The 19,433-nt window shown below is 44.9% G+C and overlaps 1 protein-coding gene across 6 annotated transcripts in view, besides 1 other annotated feature; it reads left to right on the forward strand.

Moving 5' to 3' along the window:
• Nucleotides 1–19,433, forward strand: part of RASSF3 (Ras association domain family member 3) — a 190,601-nt gene that overhangs the window by 168,174 nt on the left and 2,994 nt on the right. For 4 of the 6 annotated variants that reach the window (XM_047428711.1, XM_011538195.3, NM_178169.4 and 1 more), the window contains 3 exons: nucleotides 9,650–9,757; nucleotides 13,079–13,316; nucleotides 16,333–16,442. In XM_047428711.1, coding sequence (XP_047284667.1) covers nucleotides 9,650–9,757; nucleotides 13,079–13,316; nucleotides 16,333–16,442 — 456 coding nt within the window. Of the gene's footprint in view, nucleotides 1–9,649; nucleotides 9,758–13,078; nucleotides 13,317–16,332; nucleotides 16,443–19,433 lie in introns of those variants that run through there. The other 2 variants (NR_040718.2, XM_047428712.1) reach the window with 1 other exon arrangement.
• Nucleotides 19,052–19,346: a silencer, noted in NCBI's record as "tiled region #4654; HepG2 Repressive non-DNase unmatched - State 15:Elon". NCBI's record gives its function as "represses a minimal TATA promoter and a strong SV40 promoter by Sharpr-MPRA in HepG2 cells {active_cell/tissue: HepG2}" and the evidence as "EXISTENCE:reporter gene assay evidence [ECO:0000049][PMID:27701403]".

A 19,433-nucleotide genomic window follows, 5' to 3' on the forward strand; every position in this document is an offset into this window, starting at 1 on the left:
TTGCGTGTGCTAATAATCCTCTAATGAATAGAATCTGCTCACTTCAATGAAAAATAAGAAAAAAGAAATATTTGTTCCTTTATAATGTACTCATTTGCTCATAGTTAATGAATATCACATAAGATTAAAAGTCGCTTAAGGTTTTCTTGCTATGTCCTTTAACTGGTTTATTTTTTAATTTTTTAAATTTTAAATAGAGATGGGGTTTCGCAATGTTGCCCAGGTTGGTCTCGAACTCCTGGGCTCAAGTGATCCTCCCATCTCGGCCTCCCAAAGTGCTAGGATTACAGGCATGAGCCACTGTGCCCGGCCTGGTTTCTTAACTGCAGGATTTCTTAGAGTCTTTAACTTTCTAAGGAACACTGGGAATCTCTAAGAGGAGTGAAGGAGGAGGAAGAACAGGAGGGCCTTTTCTGTCCACAGCACATTTTGGAGGATTGGTGTTCCATGGAACACTCTTTGGAAAGCATGGCCCCCCGCTGTTCTGCAAAGCTGTGTGCCTTGCCCTTGTTCATTCCAGTTGCCCTCTGTTTTTCCACTTACTTTTCCTACCCTGAGATAACAGTGATGCATCTATTGCTACAAGGAGGATTAGGGGATGGGGAGAGGCTGTTAAGTCCCTCTCTAACCTTTTCCTGCTGTTCAAAGCATGAACAAAGTGAACATCTTATATGGCTGCACTAAAAAAGTTGCCCGCTTACAAGCTGAACTCAGGCAAAATGAACTCCTGAATCCTCACATAAACGGAAATAGAGCCCCACCCTGTATCCTGCCATTTAAAAAAAAAAAAATCCTCTCATCTGGCAGGGGGAAAAAAATCCCAGCCCTAGAGTGGCCAGGATGAATCAGCATGCCAGGGCCATACACCAAGATAAGCATTGAGTCTCTAGATGTGGCACCATGGCAGATTATCAACACTGGTGCCGTGAGAACACTGCAGCAAGCAGCACACTGTACTTTTAAGGACAAGAACAGCAGCACCAAACACCCCAGAAACAACTGTTCTGATTCTTTCCTTCAGGAGTAGAATTTTTTTTTTTTTTTTTTTTTTTGAGACGGAGTTTCGCTCTTGTTGCCCAGGCTGGAGTGCAGTGGTGTAACCTCCACCTCCAGGGTTCAAGCGATTCTCCTGCCTCAGCCTCCTGAGTAGCTTACAGGTCTGAGGGACTACAGGCATGTGCCACCACACTGGGCTAATTTTTTGTATTTTTAGTAGAAACAGGGTTTCTCCATGTTGGTCAGGCTGGTCTTGAACTCTTGACCTCAGGTGATCCACCTGCCTTGGCCTCCCAAAGTGCTGAGATTACAGGTGTGAGCCACTGTGCCCAGCTTTTTTTTTTTTTTTTTTTTTTTTGATGGAATCTTGCTCTGTCGCCCAGGCTTGAGTGCAGTGGCACAATTTTGGCTCACTGCAACCTCTGCCTCCTGGGTTCAAGTGATTCTCCTGCCTCAGACTCACAAGTAGCTAGGATTACAGGCTCACGTCACCACACCTGGCTAATTTTGTATTTTCAATAGAGATGGGGTTTCACCATGTTGGCCACGCTGGTCTCAAACTCCTGACTGCAGGTGATCTATCCACCTTGGGCTCCCAAAATGCTGGGATTACAGGCGTGAGCCATTGCACCTGGCCACTTTTTTTTTTTTTTTAGACAGTGTCTTGCTGTGTTGCCCAGGCTGGAGTGCAGTGGCACGATCTTGGCTCACTGTAACCTCCATCTCCTGGGCTCAAGTGATCCTCCTGCCTCAGCCTCCCAAGTAGCTGTGACTACAAGCGCACACCACGATGCCCAGCTAATTTTCTATTTTTAGTAGAGACGAGGTCTCCCTGTGTTGCCCAGGCTGGTATTGAACTCCTGGGCTCGAAGGATCCACCTGCCTTGGCCTCCTAAAGTGCTGGGATTACAGGAATGAGCCACTGTGCCTGGCCTGGAGTATTGCTCTAGAACATCCTGTTTCACATCGTTTTATGTGGGGTTTTTCCTTCCTCATTCTTCATTTACACCTCTGTCTATTATAGTCTGTATTTGCAATGTTTACTACAGTAATTAGATGGAGCTTAAAATTCAGTTCTCATTTCCAGGGCTCAGAAGCCACATGTTGCTCCTGGCTGCTCTGATGGACAGCACGGTCACAGGACATTTCCTCCACTGCAGAAAATACTGCTGGATAGCCCTGATGTATATCAACAATGCTGATCATTATTTGAGAAAACGTTCTGGGCTCCCTCAATACCTCTGCCTACTTTATTATTTTAAAACAATTTTTTGTAGGTGCATACCATCATACCCAGCTATTTCTATTTTTTTGTTTGTTTTTTTAGAGACAGGGTGTGCTGTGTTGCCCAGGCTGGCCTTGAACTCCTGGGCTCAGGTGACCCTTCCGCCTCAGCTTCCCAAAGTGCTGGGATTATAGGCGTGAGACACCATGCTTGGTGACTCTGCTTACTTTAATATCTTAGAAGTTTTGGTACTGAAAGTGAAGAACATTGGACAGACATCAAACGTAAATACAAAACTGTCCCAGGTGGCTCTTCTCATACATTTCACTAGGGTTGAGCAGGACATGCTCCCCACCTGGAAGACCCTCCTAGGGCTTTGTAGGTTTAGCTCTGTGTGACAGTTCTCTTTGTATTCATCACAGGGCGGTCTCCACTTTGTATACCTAAAAGACTTCTGAGAACAGTATTTTTCCCTATTAGTCATACTTTAAAATCTAGTTTAGGAGCATCTAACTTCACATGCTGAAATTTTCTTTTGAAATTTCCTTTGAAACCCCCACACTGCTTGCTCTGTAGCTCATGGAAATCACTTACTTCATACCATGCTTCATTGCAAACCTGCTTTGGTTTGCTTATAAGTCCCTCCATGAATTCAGTGGAAATGTCTCTCCCAGAGAATGTTTTTCTCTTAAGGTCTGGTCCATGGTACTTTATTTGATGTCCTTATTAGAAGACATCTAGAGGAGTCAAGACCTAGACTCAGTTCAGTTTGAGCTAGGCTTGAATTCCATTTGCAACATGGGATGGGCCCACTGCTCCAATAAATGTGATGTTTTACATGTGAAAGGTGCTTGATGTTTTGCTCTATGCAATTCCTAGGCTAGAACCTGTTCTGTCTGTTATTGCACTGGGTATTGCAGTCTGTTGGTCATCAGCAGGTGACTGCCTATTGCCAAAAGAGACGATGAGATGAAAAGTAGGAATTCATGATTTCAGAATCTAGCCTCACTTGGAGAAAGCACCTGTTGGCCTGGGAAGTTCACCCTTCTCTGCTGACACAGGCTGGACCCCACACCTGACCAGGTGTCAGAGCACCTGTGAGAGCTCTGGGACCTCCTAGTGGCAGTGTGATGGTACCACTTACTGAGTGTCATGCCACTGGCATCAGGCACTGTGCATATATTGTCCCCCACTCAATCAGAGCATCTGTGCTATTAATATTTGCTCTTTTTTGTTTGTTTGTTTGTTTTTGGTAAAAGGTCTTTATTTTTTAAAGAGATCCGTAATACCAAAAAAAAAAAAAAAAACCAAACAAAAACCCAAAAACCTCTTGTGGGGCTGGGGTGGGGAGTAAGGTAAACTAGGCTGTCAGCCAAGCAAAGGCAGAAAGGTGGGGTCCACAACTGTCTCTCACAGCTTTAAGTGCTTGGCACCAATAGGCACTCAATAAATAGTTGTTGAATAATGGCTTATATTATATCTTCATAACAGTTGTGTAGATATTCTTTTGCACATTTTACAGTAATGAGAAAACTGAGGCCCAGAGAGGTTAAGTAACTTGCCTCTGGTCACGCAGCTAGAATGTGGCAGAGCTGTGTGATTTTAGACCTAAGTATGTCTAAATCATAGTCCACAGGCCGTCACTAAGCTAAAGTAGAGGAAATGATAGGGCCACATTCACCTTCTCTCTTTTGAACAGTCACTCGTTTTTTGAAGCGGGGGTGGGGACAGAGTTGCTGTGTTGTCCAGACTGGAGTGCAATGGCACGATCTCAGCTCACTGCAACCTCTGCCTCCCAGGTTCAAGTGATTCTCCTGCCTCAGCCTGCTGAGTAGCTAGGATTACAGGTGTGCCACCACACCCAGCTAATTTTTGTATTTTTTGTAGAGATGGGGTTTCACCATGTTGGCCAGGTTGGTCTCGAACTCCTGACCTCGTGATCCACCCACCTTGGCCTCCCAAAGTGTTGGGATTACGGGCGTGAGCCACCGCTCCCAGCCTGAACAGTCACTCTTAATTGCACTATGTTTATTTGGGCATTTTGTTATGTTTTTATGTTTTTAATTTTGATATAATTTCACAGTTATAGAAAAATTAACCAAAAGAGTATAAACAATTCTCAGACCCTTTACTGAGATTTGTTGGGACATATTCTTAGAAAGTCTGAGTTGTGAGCCTGTGGGATTGGGCCGCACTTCTTGAGTAGAGCCTGGGTCATGCTACCCGAGAACTCCTGGGTGCCTGTGAGGTTGGGTGTGTCCCATCTGAGAAAGTTCGCTACTGAAAAACAGTGACGTAACCCCACCCAGGAACTGAAGTGAGCCTGAGAGCAGCTCTCCAGGGCTTGCTGGCTGGAAACAATGAGGGAAGAGTCTAGGATTTATGAAATATTTTTTTGTGGAAGAACTCTTCCTCTGAGAAACTGCTGGAGGGTTTGGGGAATACAAAACAAAACTGACTTATGAAAAGATGACTTGTAACTCACCAAGCAGACGCTCTCAGGCGTGGCATGATGCCCTCACTGGCTGCCAAGAACAATAACTGACACATTATCCACAGACGGCTGCGCCCCATGCCATTTCCTCTCCTGCCATCACAATGAAAGACCAGGGTTGACACTTGGTATTGTATCTATTCCACGTCCGCTGCACCATTTTCTTTTAACCCTTCTTTCTTGCTCTCACCCCTTTACCTGTTGGAGCTACTATGCCCCTCCTGGGTTTCGTTTTCTTCTCTTCCTTTTTCCTGGGCATACAGCTGCGTTCCTAGAAATTGTGGTTCTGATTCATAATCATTGTATGTGGAGGAAGGGGCAGGATTCTACTCTGTGAGGGGACGGGAGGGTCTTTTTTAAAGGGGTAAACAATTGGAAAGTTTTTAGAGTTAAGGGTCTTTCTCTGATGCTAAATGAAACCACTGTCCTCTGTTCCAAGGCCTGAGCTTATATCTTCTTTGCTATGAGACCCAGAGAAACAGTGCTTGGGGGCCATTTTGGAAGCAGCTTGTCCTTTGACCTTCCCCACTCCACTTGTGCAGACACCACGCCCCGTGAGGACGGGCGTGGTGTCTGCTGCTGAGCCTGACTGCCCCACACTTAGGCAGGTACCTGGCACATGGCAGAAGCTCAGCAAATATTTGCTGAATGATGAGGCCTTGGTGTATGATTGCTACATTTTTGGCTTAAAAAGTACAGCATCAGGGCCCTTGGGGTTTTACCTGCTTTTCTGGGATATACTTTCCAGCTGATCTTTGTTTTTTTTTGTTTTTGTTTTTGAGACAGAGTCTCGCTCTGTCGCCCAGGCTGGAGTGCAATGGCGTGATCTCGGCTTACTGCGATCTCCGCCTCCCGGTTTCAAGCGATTCTCCTACCTCAGCCTCCCAAGTAGCTGGGACTACAGGTGCTTGCCGCCATGCCCAGCTAATTTTTGTATTTTTAATAGAGACAAGGCCACCATGTTGGCCAGGCTGGTCTCAAACTCCTGATCTCAGGTGATCCGCCCGCCTCGGCCTCCCAAAGTGCTGGGATTACAGGTGTGAGCCACCGCGCCCAGCCAGTTTCCTTAGTTTTTAATCTCTGAGAAGGAAAGATAATTGTTACGTAAGGATGTCTCAGTTATCTATGTGTGGATGATCCAGGGAAAATTTCTCTTTCCAGACTGGCTTACTCTTTGGATTTTCCTCAAGCTTCTCGGTCTGCCTGTGCGAAGGGGCCTAAGGCTGGGTGTTAAGTCCCATAGCATGAGCAAAACCTGTAATTTAGGGTTAACCAGCTTTACTTAACTCCCATTACCCCTTTTCCTTCTCCTCATTCTTAGAATTCTCACGTGAGTGGTAGTAAGCCCCTAGGATGTATGTATGCTGCTGTGTATGTGCTTAGCCATTTCCTGTGTATTTAATGGTGAACCTTTGGTGATTCCTCACATGGAACCCTTTTGCCCTTGGTCACACTTGTGAAAGCACCTCCACATCTTTGCAATCAGATCAGCCTAGGCCAGGAAGCACCTTAGAGGAGGTGATTGACTCTAGTTCCTTGTTTGGTAGAGAATGAGGGAACAGGCTCAGAAAGGTTAAGCCCAAGGCACAGGGTTAGTTGGTGACAGACCCAGGACTGGGGCCCAAGTCTTGCAGGTGTGGTGCACTTTCTGCAACACCCCTTTGCCCTGCCAACTTCCCATCCCACATCCATGAGATTTTAAGTCCCTTATTGTACACTTTTTAGTATATGCTTTGAAGAGTCTTTGGACAGTTAAAACTGAATGTACAAGCCAAGACTACCTCATTTTCTTCTTCAGCTATGACTGGTACCCAGCTAATTGTGGATTGGTAAGAGCAAGACAATCAGAGATATGATACATGTTTAAAACTTCATTGGGGCTCAGTGCAGTGGCTCATACCTGTAATCTCAGCACTTTAGGAGACTAAGGTGGGAGGACTGCTTGAGCCCAGGAGTTCGAGAGCAGCCTGGGCAACATAGCCAGACGTCATCTGTACAAAAAATTAGCTAGGCGCAGTGGTGCTTGTCTGTAGTCCCAGCTATTCAGGAGACTGAGGTGGGAGGAATGTTTGAACTCAGGAAGTCAAGGCTGCAGTGAGCCGTGATCACGCCCCTAAACACTAGCCTGGGTGATAAAGTGAGACCCTGTCTCAGACAAAACAAAACACTTTCTTGGAAGTAGTCTCTGGAGCTTTTGAAAGTTTATTTTAATCCACAGCTTTTCCCCCACCAAACACTAATACCAAAAATAAGATTACTTTGGGGTTTTACCTTGGCAAATAGGATGCTCCCAAGGGACTTTGAAGCCTACCCCTGAAGCTAGGGAATGAACACATTATCTTGTGCTGGTATTTATCCAGTATTACCCAATATACTGACCCATTAGACTTCACCAGGATGGTGCTGACATTGAAAAGTCACGGAGATAGGCCGGGCGCCACGAGATAGGTGGCTCACGCCTGTAATCCCAGCACTTTGGGAGGCCGAGGCGGGCGGATCACAAGGTCAGGAGATCGAGACCATCCTGGCTAATACGGTGAAACCCCGTCTCTACTAAAAATACAATTAGCCGGGCGTGGTGGCGGGCGCCTGTAGTCCCAGCTACTCGGGAGGCTGAGGCAGGAGAATGGCGTGAACCCAGGAGGCGGAGGTTGCAGTGAGCCCAGATCCGGCCACTGCACTCCAGCCTGGGTGACAGAGCAAGACTCCGTCTCAAAAAAAAAAAAAAAAGAAAAGTCACCGAGATAATTTGTAGTCAGCACACCCCTCTTAGGGTCTAAAGTCAAAGATCTTGAGGCTTCAATGGATCAAGAGCCTTTTCTTACTCTACGTGGTATTGACGCAAGTTCTGTAGTAGCCCCTCCTGCTGTATTTACGACACTAGCTTCCAGTGGGCAGATGGAAACCAGTGCCTGCCTGGAGACTATCCAGCTGTGAGAATGATGTGATGTGTCTGGCAGAAAGAGGCGTGTTTACAAAGGCTTTATTTTGCAGGAGTAAATCATTGGATTTTAACTGTTCTTCCTCTCTTTGTGTTGAATCTGATTATGCAGCTTTTCTGTAAGTTTTTAAATGTTTACCCACACCAGACCTTTGGGGACTGATTGGATTTAGTGGGAGCACCCTAGAAGACCTGGATTAAAGTGGAACTTGGTCTCTCAACTAGTTGGGTTGTCCTTGGACAAACTGCTTGACCTCTGTAAATCTTCTGTCCTTATCTGTAACGTAGGGGTGCTAATTAGCATTAATTAGCTCATTGTTGGGAGGATTAAATGAGAACACCCCTGTGGAATTACTTAGAGCTCCCAGTAAAGGTTGGAGTTAGGGAGGATTAGCAGGCTTTCATTTGCTTCCACATTTTTTTTCAGCAGTTTAATTTACTGAAACTGGCATAATAATGCCTCCTTGATTAGGTTGTTGGGAGAAGTAAAGGCAATACAAGTTTGGTGCCTGGTATACTTCATCAGGGTGACAAAATGCTGTCATTTGGTCATTTGTGATCATGTCTGCTACTGCATAATGTCATGCACTGGTGGGACTCTTTAGACAGCTAATTATTGGTAAATTCTTCACAGTGAGAAGAGGATTTAACCGATATTTCTCCCTCTAGAGTGTGGGGAGGTAGAGAAGTGGGTGAGACTGGAAGGGTGGGAAGGAGAAGTCTGGCTACTTGTATCTTGGCCTGGGGATTTGTTTGGAAGATGAATTATCCTCTGGTAGTTGTGTACAGTTTACAGGTCAGTGATTAGTATGAGTCCGTGAATAGTGCCAGTTAATACTGATTAACTGCTGTACTTTTTGCCAATAAATATTGTAAAGCTATAAAGACAACAGAGTTAATACAAGTTGCTAAAGAGAAACTTGTGGTAAATGTCTTTAAATGTTGTTTAAAATAGAAATGGCCAATCTAGCAGGCATGCTGAGGAAATGATGTTTTTGCAGAAGGGAAATTTAGCAATGACAGTTTTGCAGAATATATTGGTAATGAAGTGTTACTTGTAGCTGCTGACAAATTAGTTTTCTTAAAAAATATATCCCCTAGGAAGACTGTAGTATGAAAGAATGAGAACCGTAATTGGTGGATGAGCCTGGAGAGTTTGAAGGTAAGAGAGAAAGAGAAGCAGCGAGGGAGAGAAGGAGAGAGAGAGAGAGAGAGAGTGAGTGTGTGTGTGTGTGTGTGTGTGTTTCAAGGTAACATGCAAGAACAATAAGGTTCTTCTTGTGTGGTTGTAATTTTTTTTTTTTTTTTTTTGAGACAGGGTCGCACTCTGTCACCCAGGCTAGAGCATAGTGGCATAATTATGGCTCACTACAGCCTCGACCTCTGGGCTGAGGTGATGCTCCCACCTCAGCCTCCTAACTAGCTGCGACTACAGGTGTGCACCACTGTGCCCAGCTAATTTTTGTATTTTTTGTAGAGATAGAGTTTCCTCATGTTGCCCAGCCTGGTCACAATCTCCAGGGCTTAAGCTCTGCCGTCCTTGGCCTCTCAAAGTCCTGGGATTGCAGGCTTCCACCACCGTGCCCGGCCCTTGTGTGGAATTTTTAAAAAATCCTGACTTATCTGTTTGTTTGTTTGTTTGTTTTTTTTTTTTGAGACAGAGTTTTGCTCTTGTTGCCCAGGCTGGAGTGCAATGGCGTGATCTCAGCTTACCACAACCTCTGCCTCTCACGTTCAAAGTGATTCTCCTGCCTCAGCCTCCCAAGTAGCTGGGTTTACAAGCGTGCGCCACCATGCCCAGCTAATTTCGTAATTTTAGTAGAGACAGGGTTTCTCCATTTTGGTCAGGGTGGTATTGAACTCCCAACCTCAGGTGATCCGCCCACCTCAGCCTCCCAAAGTGCTGGGATTACAGGCGTGAGCCACTGCGCCCGGCCTATCCGCACTTTTTTTTATGATTGCTCACATGTGACATGTCTTGTTTTTCTTCTAGGATGTTGAGAAAGAGAAGGAAACCCACAGTTACCTCAGCAAAGAGGAGATCAAAGAGAAAGTTCATAAATACAACTTAGCAGTCACAGACAAGTTGAAGATGACCTTGGTAAGCACTCAAAATACTATTTAGGTTGACACCTGTCAAAAGACAAATATAAATTGTTGGTACTACAATCTATAGTTCTAAATATCTGAATAGCATTTGTAGAAGTGTAGTAGTCAAGGTATACAGAACAGGAAAGTGGAATATTTCTGTGGCTTTCCATTTAAATCTGTATTGTGAAGTAGCTTTGTCTCAAAAATCAGTTGCTGGGTTAACCTTAAAAAAGTGAAACACTTATAATTTTATTTTAAAAGATTTTGTGACCCACCCCTCCCTCCTCAAAGGATTTTTAGCATCATTGCCTAACATACAGAAATGGTGACTCAGATTCTAAGAAGACCTCAGGTAAGGTTTTTTGTTTTGTTTTGTTTTGAAACAAGGTTTTGCTCTGTCACCTGGGCTGGAGAGCAGTGGCACGATCACCGCTCACTGCAGCCTCGACCTCCGGGCTCAAGTAATCCTCCCACCTCAGCCTCCCGAGTAGCTGGGACCACAGGTGCTTGCCACCATGCCCAGCTAATTTTTGTATTTTTTGTAGAGACGGGGTTTTGCCATATCACCCAGGCTCATCTCAAATTCCTTGGCTCAAGGGATCTGCCCAGCTTGGCCTCCCAAAGTGCTGGGATTACAGGTATCAGAAGCCCCTAAGTTTTTGTCTTGTACAAAATAAATATGGAAGTGTCAGGGAAAGGATTTTGAGCCCATGGATTGGAATATAGAGGTATATAATAGGATAGTTTTCTCTGCCGGTCGTTAGTGTAAGACAAGGTACTTAATACTCAGTTTCTTCCACGTCGCTGTCGCAGGCTTCCACAGCATTGTGCCACACTGAAGCATGCAGGGAGTCGGCGTACAGGAGGGAGAAGCCTCAGGGCCTGGGGATAGGGAAACGAGCTGACAGCGGAGCTAGAGTATTCATGTTCCTCTAAACTTAGCTGGCATCTAGGTCTCGCCTACCCATTGGGTGGCCCGCCTTCTTCATGGCACTTGTCAGCCCTTGGCGCCAGTTTCCAGGGCACTTGGATCCCCGTCTCTCAGTCTGTTTACTGTGAACTGACAGAGTTTGGTAAAGGACAAGGTGATTGGTTTAAAACAGGCCCTACCGAATCGGTGATTCTTGGGGAGGAGCTTTCAGATAGAAACCCTTGTGGTAAAGGACCCCTCCCTGGTAGAACTCCTCCAAAAAGAGGGGAGAGGAGCAGAGAATCCCAAGATAACTCTTCATCATTCCAGCAGCAAGATTTCTTTTTCAAACACATTTTTTCATCAAAGGAGAAATCCACTTGCTATGTTTTTTTTTTTTCCTTTCCTGATAGAGACTAAAACAGATACAAATTATCCATGTCATTTTAAAGATAAAAATTTTAGGCTGGGCACAGTGGCTCACACCTGTAATCTCAGCATTTTGGGAGGCTGAGGCGGGTGGATCACTTGAAGTCAAGAGTTCGACGGTGGCTCACGCCTGTAATCCAGCACTTTGGGAGGCCGAGGTGGGCAGATCACGAGGTCAGGAGATCGAGACCATCCTGGCTAACACAGTGAAACCCTGTCTCTACTAAAAATACAAAAATTAGCCAGGCGTGGTGGCGGGCGCCTGTAGTCCCAGCTACGCGGGAGGCTGAGGCAGAAGAATGGCGTGAACCCAGGAGGCAGAGCTTGCAGTGAGGCAAGATCGTGCCACTGCACTCCAGCCTAGGCGACAGAGCAAGACTCCATCTCAAAAAAAAGAGTTCAAGGCCAGCCTAGTCAACATGGCAAAACCCCATCTCTCCTAAAAATAGAAAAATTAGCCAGGCATGGTGGCGGGTGCCTGCAGTCCCAGCTACTCAGGAGGCTGAGGCAGGAGGATCACTTGAACTCAGGAAGTTGAGGCTGCAGTGAGCTGTGTTCGTGCCACTGCACTCCAGCCTGGGTGAGAGAGTGAGACCCTGTCTCAAAAAAGAACAAACTAGAGAATTAGGATTGAAAATTGATCTTGTGGGAAGGAAGAAAAATAACACACCATAAAGATAGTTTTAAATGTTCTACTTTAACTGTGGCATTTATATGTAACACTTGACAGTTTAATAAAACAGTACAATAAATCTTTTCTAAATATACTGTTTTTGTTTGTTTTTGAGATGCAGTCTCTGTCGCCCAGGCTGAAGTGTAATGGCGTAATCTCGTAATCTCGGCTCACTGCAACCTCCACCTCTGGGTTCAAGAGATTCTCCTGCCTCAGCCTCCCGAGTAGCTGGGATTATAGGCACCTGCCACCACACCCAGCTAATTTTTTTTTATTTTTATTTTTAGTAGAGACGGGATTTCACCCTGTTGGCCAGGCTGGTCTCGAACTCCTGACCTCCAGTGGTCTGCTCGCCTCGGCCTCCCAAAGTGCTGAGATTACAGACATGAGCCACTGCGCCTGGCCCCAAATATACTGAATACAAAAATAAAAATAAAAAGTGAAGACCAAACTGTTATTACTGTTTTTGGCAACTAAGAAATAGTAATTCTACCATCAGTGAAGGTAGTTGTTTTTAAGATCTGTACTGTGAAGTATAGTGGTTTGAATTTGTTTTTTTTTGTTTTGTTTTGTTTTTGTTTTTTGTTTTTTTTTTTGAGACAGAATCTTGCTCTGTCGCCCAGGCTGGAGTGCAATGGCGTGATCTTGGCTCATTGCAACCTCCACCTTCTGGTTTCAAGCGATTGAATTTTTTTTTAAAATGCTGCTTAAGAGACCCGAAATGCATTCTATGCTGTATGGCATATATGCTGCATTAAAAAGTTTAAGCAGAGTTAGTAATTCAGTGCATATGAATATAGCCACTAGGAATGAAAATAGCCTGTTTTCTTACTGTCCCCTTGTTGTTGACTTCAGTATTTCAGAGCCCTAATTGTGACCTTCCTTTTGTGTATAATAGTCACCAGTTGAGGATGTTGTTTCCTTTGAGCCTGTAGCCTAGACATATCCCCCAAGCTTTAATAAGTTTTGTGGTTTGGCTAGCATCTGCTCCGTTGGATTGTAACCTCGCAAATGGACCCTGACCTTTTGCCAGTAGCTTCAGAGGCATGAGTCTGGGGCCGGCAGTCAGCCACAGCATCAGGAGGCTTCTTCAGTGTCCACATCTGCCCTGCAGACCTTGCCTCTGGAAGCACTTTGCCTGGTGTGTTAACCGCCCTCTGAGGTCATTCCTTTGGGGGCAATCTTTAGTGAAGTTCTGCCACAAACCTCAAGAGAAGAGAACAAAGGAGTGTTTCACCTTCCCGTTTTGTTTTGATATGCTTCTTCCCTAAAGTGCCACCATCCACCCAGCTAAGTGTGTGCTTCTCTCCCTGCTTCAGAATTCAAATGGGATTTACACTGGCTTCATTAAAGTACAGATGGAACTCTGCAAACCTCCACAGACTTCTCCAAATTCTGGAAAACTCTCTCCCAGTAGCAATGGCTGTATGAATACACTTCATATCAGCAGCACAAACACTGTCGGGGAAGTGATCGAGGCCCTGCTCAAAAAGTTTCTCGTGACTGAGAGCCCTGCCAAGTTTGCACTTTATAAGCGTTGTCACAGGGAAGACCAAGGTACGCTGCCAGCTTAAAAGGAAAATGGTCTGTGCTTCTACTTGCATCTGCTGTTCTCATTAGCAGAGGGAAGACTGGTGGGTCTCATCCATGTCAGTTGTGTCAGAGCCTGGAGTCCGATGCTGGAAGCCATGGTGATCTTAGCATGCACTTAGTGCTTCCTGGCTGTCCATATTTTTGAGTTGGACAGTTGAGGGTCTGAGGAGCTTGGAAGCATCCATATGTGATTGGCAGTTACGAGTATTTTGTGGTGTTGGTGGGGGGATGGGGCGGGGGCTGTTTTTGGTGGTTGTTAGGAGTGGCTTTGATTTTAGTTTTCTTTAGGACACAAAAGAGTGCCTCTGTGTTTGAAGTTTTCAATAGCACATTCCACATTTGATGTGCATCAGTACGTGGAGTGGTTTGGTGGATGTGTGCTGAGATCTTGCGACTGGGGAGGCACATGTGCATCACAGCACATTTCAGCGTACTGATGGAAACGGCCCAGCCCTGGGCTCTCCTGTTGCCTTAGCTTGTCTCACTTGGTGTTACGCCGGGACATTTTGGTACTCTGTCCCCCAGAGGCTCATCAAATGAGTGAATAACATTTTGATCTAGGGTCTGACTAAAACTTCATATCCACATTCAGGGGATAGAAAGAGAACATTAAATATTAAATTACTGCGTGAAACAGAATGAGATATTCCAGGTCAGGCAGTGACCAGAAATTGATAACATTGGTGGACAGTAGTGATTCAGTGACTCACTACATGCGATTTGAAATCGGGGTGTGTGTGTGTGTGTGTGTGTGTGTACAATAAACTATTTAAGCTTTCTTTGGTTTTTCTCGGTAAAGCCTAATGTAGCTATAGAAGAAAATATATTAACCTTGACATGATAGTAATGTTCTTCAGTTACACAGGATGAAACCCAGCTCATTGCTGAGTATGCATACATCTTTTTAAAAACAAACCATGGGGCTAGACCCTGTGGAATACAAAGATGAACAGGCCAGGGTTCCTACCTTCAGAGGTCACAAGCTTAGTATTGTGGGGGCTTATATCTATAGGGAAATTGGCACCTGCGATGCAGTGCATCTGGAAGTGCCACAATAATGTAGAGAAGCTCGATGGCATTTTTATCTGCCAGTTTCTTTGCCTGCTCACCTGGACTTTAGCTGTACAATCTGAAAGTAATCGTGACTTGTTGAAATATTACCCCCATGGCTGGCAAATCCTTTAACATGATTGGCAATGTCACTGTATGTGTGTGTCTAGCATGAGACATATATAGCTGTGCTTGAAGCTACCGGAGCTTATATTCTGATTGCTTGGTTTGTAGCTGCTAATTCGCTAATTCTTTTTTTTTTTTTGAGACGGAGTCTCGTTCTGTCACCCAGGCTGGAGGTGCAGTGGCGCAATCTTGGCTCACTGCAAGCTCCACCTCCCGGGTTCACGCCATTCTCCTGCCTCAGCCTCCCGAGTAGCTGGGACTTACAGGCGCCCGCCACCACGTCTGGCTAATTTTTTTGTGTTTTTAGTAGAGACGGGATTTCACTGTGTTAGCTAGGATGGTCTCGATCTCCTGACCTTGTGATCCGCCCGCCTCAGCCTCCCAAAGTGCTGGGATTGCAGGTGTGAGCCACCGCGCCTGGCCTCGCTAATTCTTAATTAATCTGTAGAGAGATTTGCTTTTAGAACTCTTGTTTTTATGTTCTTTGGATGGTATATACATTTTTTTTTAAATTTGTTTTTTGTTTGTTTGTTTGAGACGGAGTCTTGCTCTGTTGCCCAGGCTGGTGTGCAGTGGCACAATCTCGGCTCACTGCAACCTCCGCCTCCTGGGTTCCAGTGATTCTCCTGCCTCAGCCTCCCAAGTAGCTACAATTACAAGTGCCCACCACCATGCCCAGCTAACTTTTGTATTTTTAGTAGAGACAGAGTTTCACCATGTTGGTGGCCAGGCTGGTCTCAAACTCCTGACCCCAGGCAATCTGCCTGTCTCGGCCTCCCAAAGTGCTGGGATTACAGGTATGAGCCACCACGCCTGGCCTTGGTTTTTGAGACAGCGTCTTACTCTGTCACCTAGGCTGGAGTACCATGGCATGATCATAGCTCATTGTAACCTTGAACTCCTGGGCTCAAGTGATGCTCTTGCCTCAGCCTCCTAAGTAGCTAGGACTATAGGCGGGCCCCATTATGCCTGGCTAGTTAGAAAAAAAAATTTTTTTTTTTTGGAGACCAGGGTCCTGCTATGTTGCCCTGGCTGGTCTCGAACTCCAGGCCTCAAGTGATCCTCCTGCCTCAGCCTTTAAGTGTTGGGATTACAGGTGCGAGCCACTATGCCTGGCCTATTTTTATTGTTTTTAAAGGAGTAGTGGACCCTTTTTTAGGTTTCTTATCTTGCCTTTTTTTTTTCATTTAAAAAAAATTTTATTTATTTTTTGAGACAGAGTTTCACTCTTGTTGCCCAGGCAGGAGCGCAATGGCACGATCTCGGCTCACTCCAACCTCCACCTCCCAGGTTTGAGTGATTCTCCTGCCTCGGCCTCCCAAGTAGCTGGGATTACAGGTGCCCGCCACCACGCCCGGCTGATTTTTTGTATTTTTAGTAGAGACAGGGTTTTGCCATGTTGGCCAGGCTGGTCTCAAACTGCTGGCCTCAGGTGACCCGCCCACCTCGGCCTCCCAAAGTATTGGGATTACAGGCATGAGCCACCATGCCTGGCTCTTACCTTGTTTTCTAAAAGGAAGAGCAGAGCTAACTATAAGCATATTTTGGGACTAATATCTATTAAAATTTATTCTTGAAAATAATTTCCTTCTTAATCAAGGCACAGTTTATATTTGAACAGAAACAGAATAGATTTTATTCCACTGTGGGCTACTGGTATTAAATAATAAGATGAGCCGACTGGCGACTTAGAGGCTGGGGTAACTTGGATGGTTACCTTGATCTGGAGGAGGGGATCACAATGGGGAAGTGGTCTCAGGAATGGCTGAATACTCTGTAACATGCTGCTTGTTTCTTTACCCAGTCTACGCCTGCAAGCTCTCAGACCGGGAACATCCACTCTACCTGCGTTTGGTAGCAGGGCCCAGAACAGACACACTTAGTTTTGTTCTTCGTGAACATGAAATTGGAGAGGTAAGTTATTGTTCACTATTGCTTTAAACTATACAGAACAGCTGGCCCTATTTTATTGCAGTAGCCTAGTGACTTGGCTATTGATGGGGGATGGGAAGAGAAGAGAGTTGGAGGGCAGGGGGATGGGAAGAGAAGAGAGTTGGAGGGCAGGGAGAGGGAGAGGGATTTTGAATTGTCAGAAATGAACCCAAAGTTAGCCTATGATGTCATTCTCTCACAACCTTATATTATTAGTCTGTCATTTTCAGAGGTGGGAGAAAATAAAGTTTTTTTACTTGATCTCCATCCAGAGAGTCATTTTCACCCCTTCCCACCTCCAAAATACTCCAGTCCAGCTGAACTTTGAAAGTTGACACTCACCATGTGTTTGCTACTAACAAAAGTCTCCAGGCTAATTCCCTTCTAAAGGGATATAAAAGGAAATTCGATCTCTTTACCATGGAAGGCATTTAGCTTTCTAGCATCTTTTTTTTCCCCCTTGCCCAGTCAACTGATTAAGAAATTATGTTTCCATGTGCATCATTTGCCATGTTGTCTCCAGGGAGGATTGTATTTAGCCAGTTCAGTAGAAGAAAAAAAGCACTTGAGCCTGCCCTCTAGATCAAGTGTCAGCTTTAAATGACACTTGAGCAAATCCCAAGCTCCTGTCCCAGTCTTCTGTCTGGAACAGGAAATGGTGTGAAATGTCCTACATGGTGCAATTGAGAATAGGGTTTCTAGGTTAAAAGTTAGGAAACGGCTCTGTTTCCTACTGTTTGTTAGATTAGTAGCATGACCTTGGATAAGTCTTCTAATCTTTTAGCCCTCAGTTTTAAAATCTGTTAAGTGGGACTAAACACTTTACAAGGTGGGCTTTGAGTCACAATTAGAAATGTATACATGTAAGTGAAGGGAGTTTTAGGAAGACAGTGGTTTTACATGTTTTTGAAGTTTCTTTTGATTCTGGTGTTTTGAAGCTTTTCAAGACATTCAGACTCATTTTGGGGAGAAGGCAGGGTGCAGAAATCTGACTTGGCTTTGCAGATGGTGACCATTCCCTCTGCCAGCTTAAGCCAGACACATTAGCATAGTCTACTCAGTGTTTTATTTTTCTTGTACTTAGTGTTTTAAGTAGCAACTAGAACTACATTGGGCAAGAATTTTATTAACTTGGTTATTTTATTGTATTTTAATTATAATTAGAGATAGGGTCTCACTACGTTGCCCAAGCTGGTCTCAAACTCCTGGGCTCAAGCAATCCTCCCACCTCAGCCTCCCAAAGTGCTGGGATTACAGGCATGAGCCACTGCACCTGGCCTTAACTTAGTTTTGAAATTGACTTGACATTGGGTTTTATTGTTCCAGACTGCTGTACTGGACCTCTGTATGGTGTTCTTATTTCTCAGTTATTTAAGGAAAACTGAACTGAGGAAGAAATTTCCATAGCTGTTAGGGGGTGGGAGGGATATTTATATGATGTCTTTATTTTGGAGACTTCAACATAGGTGAAAGATAATCTGTTAAAATTTTAAAAATTAACAGAATATTCTAACGTAGAAGTTTTGCTCTCCTACTCCATGTTGCTCTTTTTTTTTTTTTTTTTTTTAAATAACCAGCCTAAACTGTTCTCCAGGAATTCTTCTACCACTGAGCCCATTTGGTGGATTTACTTATTTTTCACTCTTTGTTTGTATTTGGTTATCTTGAATCTTTTCTCTACACCATCAGACAGCAGTTCTCCACCAGGATCCAGGGCCCCCTTTGGGAGAGGAGGATGTGTTTGGAAAAAACCTCGTAGATGATGCTAGATACCCTCCTTGACATTCACTGCTTCTATTTTTTAAAATCTGTTTTAATTTTTTTTTTTTTCTTTTTAAAGAGACTAGGTCTTGCACTGTCACCCAGGCTGGAGTACAGTGGCGCAATCATGGCTCACTGCAGCCTCAATCTCCCGGGCTCAAGCAATCCTCCTACCTCAGCCTCCCAAGTAACTGGGACTACAGGAATGTACTGCCACAGCCAGATAATTTTTAAATTTTTTGTAGCGACCTGGTGTCACTATTTTGCCCAGGCTGGTCTCGAACTTCTGGTCTTGAACTTCTGGGCTCAAATGATCCTCCTGCCTAAGCATTCCAAAGTGCTAGGATTATAGGCATGAGCCACAATGCCCAGCCTAAAAACTTATTTTGTGCCTGCTAAATAAGTACTAGGAGCTGTTAGGGAAACAAGGCTCAGAGCCTCAAGGCAAGAGATAAACTCCAAATAGCGAGAAGTACGGCAGCTGTGGTGTAGGTAAGGTGCAGGTGAGATAGATATTAAGCAAATAATTGTAATTTAAAAATCTTGGTTGTGATCAGGGGCTCTGTGAAGGCTTTTGATACACTTAGCCTTGGGTGGGAAGAGAGGAGAGGAAGTTGTGGAAAGCTGCTTAGAGAAAGTGGCATTTAAGCTGAGATGGGGAGGATGAGTAGTTCATAGCCAGGCAAAGTGGAGGAGGGGAGAATGCGTGCCACTTGGGCAGAGAGTGAAGCTCGGTGAGAGAGAGATGGGGCCGGAGAGTTTAGAGTCTTTCAGACAGCATCAGCAACTAAGGGAAGCCATTGGATGGTTCTAAGCAGGGGAGAGTCTTGGCCAGATGAGCATTTTACAAAGGATGTTCTGTTTGGGGAACAGATGGGGGAGCATAAGAGCCGAGTGAGGAGGCCAGGTAGGAAGCTGTTCCAGCGATGCAGGAATAGATGATAGTAGCTAGCACCAAGGGGCCGTACCGAGGGAGAAAAGGCTGAATGGAGAACTGTTTGGGGGTGATAAGACTGATTATGCGAGGTAAGAAAGTCAGTTACAATGAGGACTCGAGGTTAAGATGAAAGGACTGTCGAATTGTTTTTAATGCTGTTGGGGGTCAAATCAGGTAAGGAATGAAAGTGTCCAATAGACTTAGGGATATGGAGGTCTCTGGCTTTTAGGGAGATCGTCTTGAACAGTGGGAGGAGAGGGTAGGAAGGTGATTGG

Source organism: Homo sapiens, chromosome 12 (assembly GCF_000001405.40).
Source record: "Homo sapiens chromosome 12, GRCh38.p14 Primary Assembly".
Classification (NCBI taxonomy): domain Eukaryota; kingdom Metazoa; phylum Chordata; class Mammalia; order Primates; family Hominidae; genus Homo; species Homo sapiens.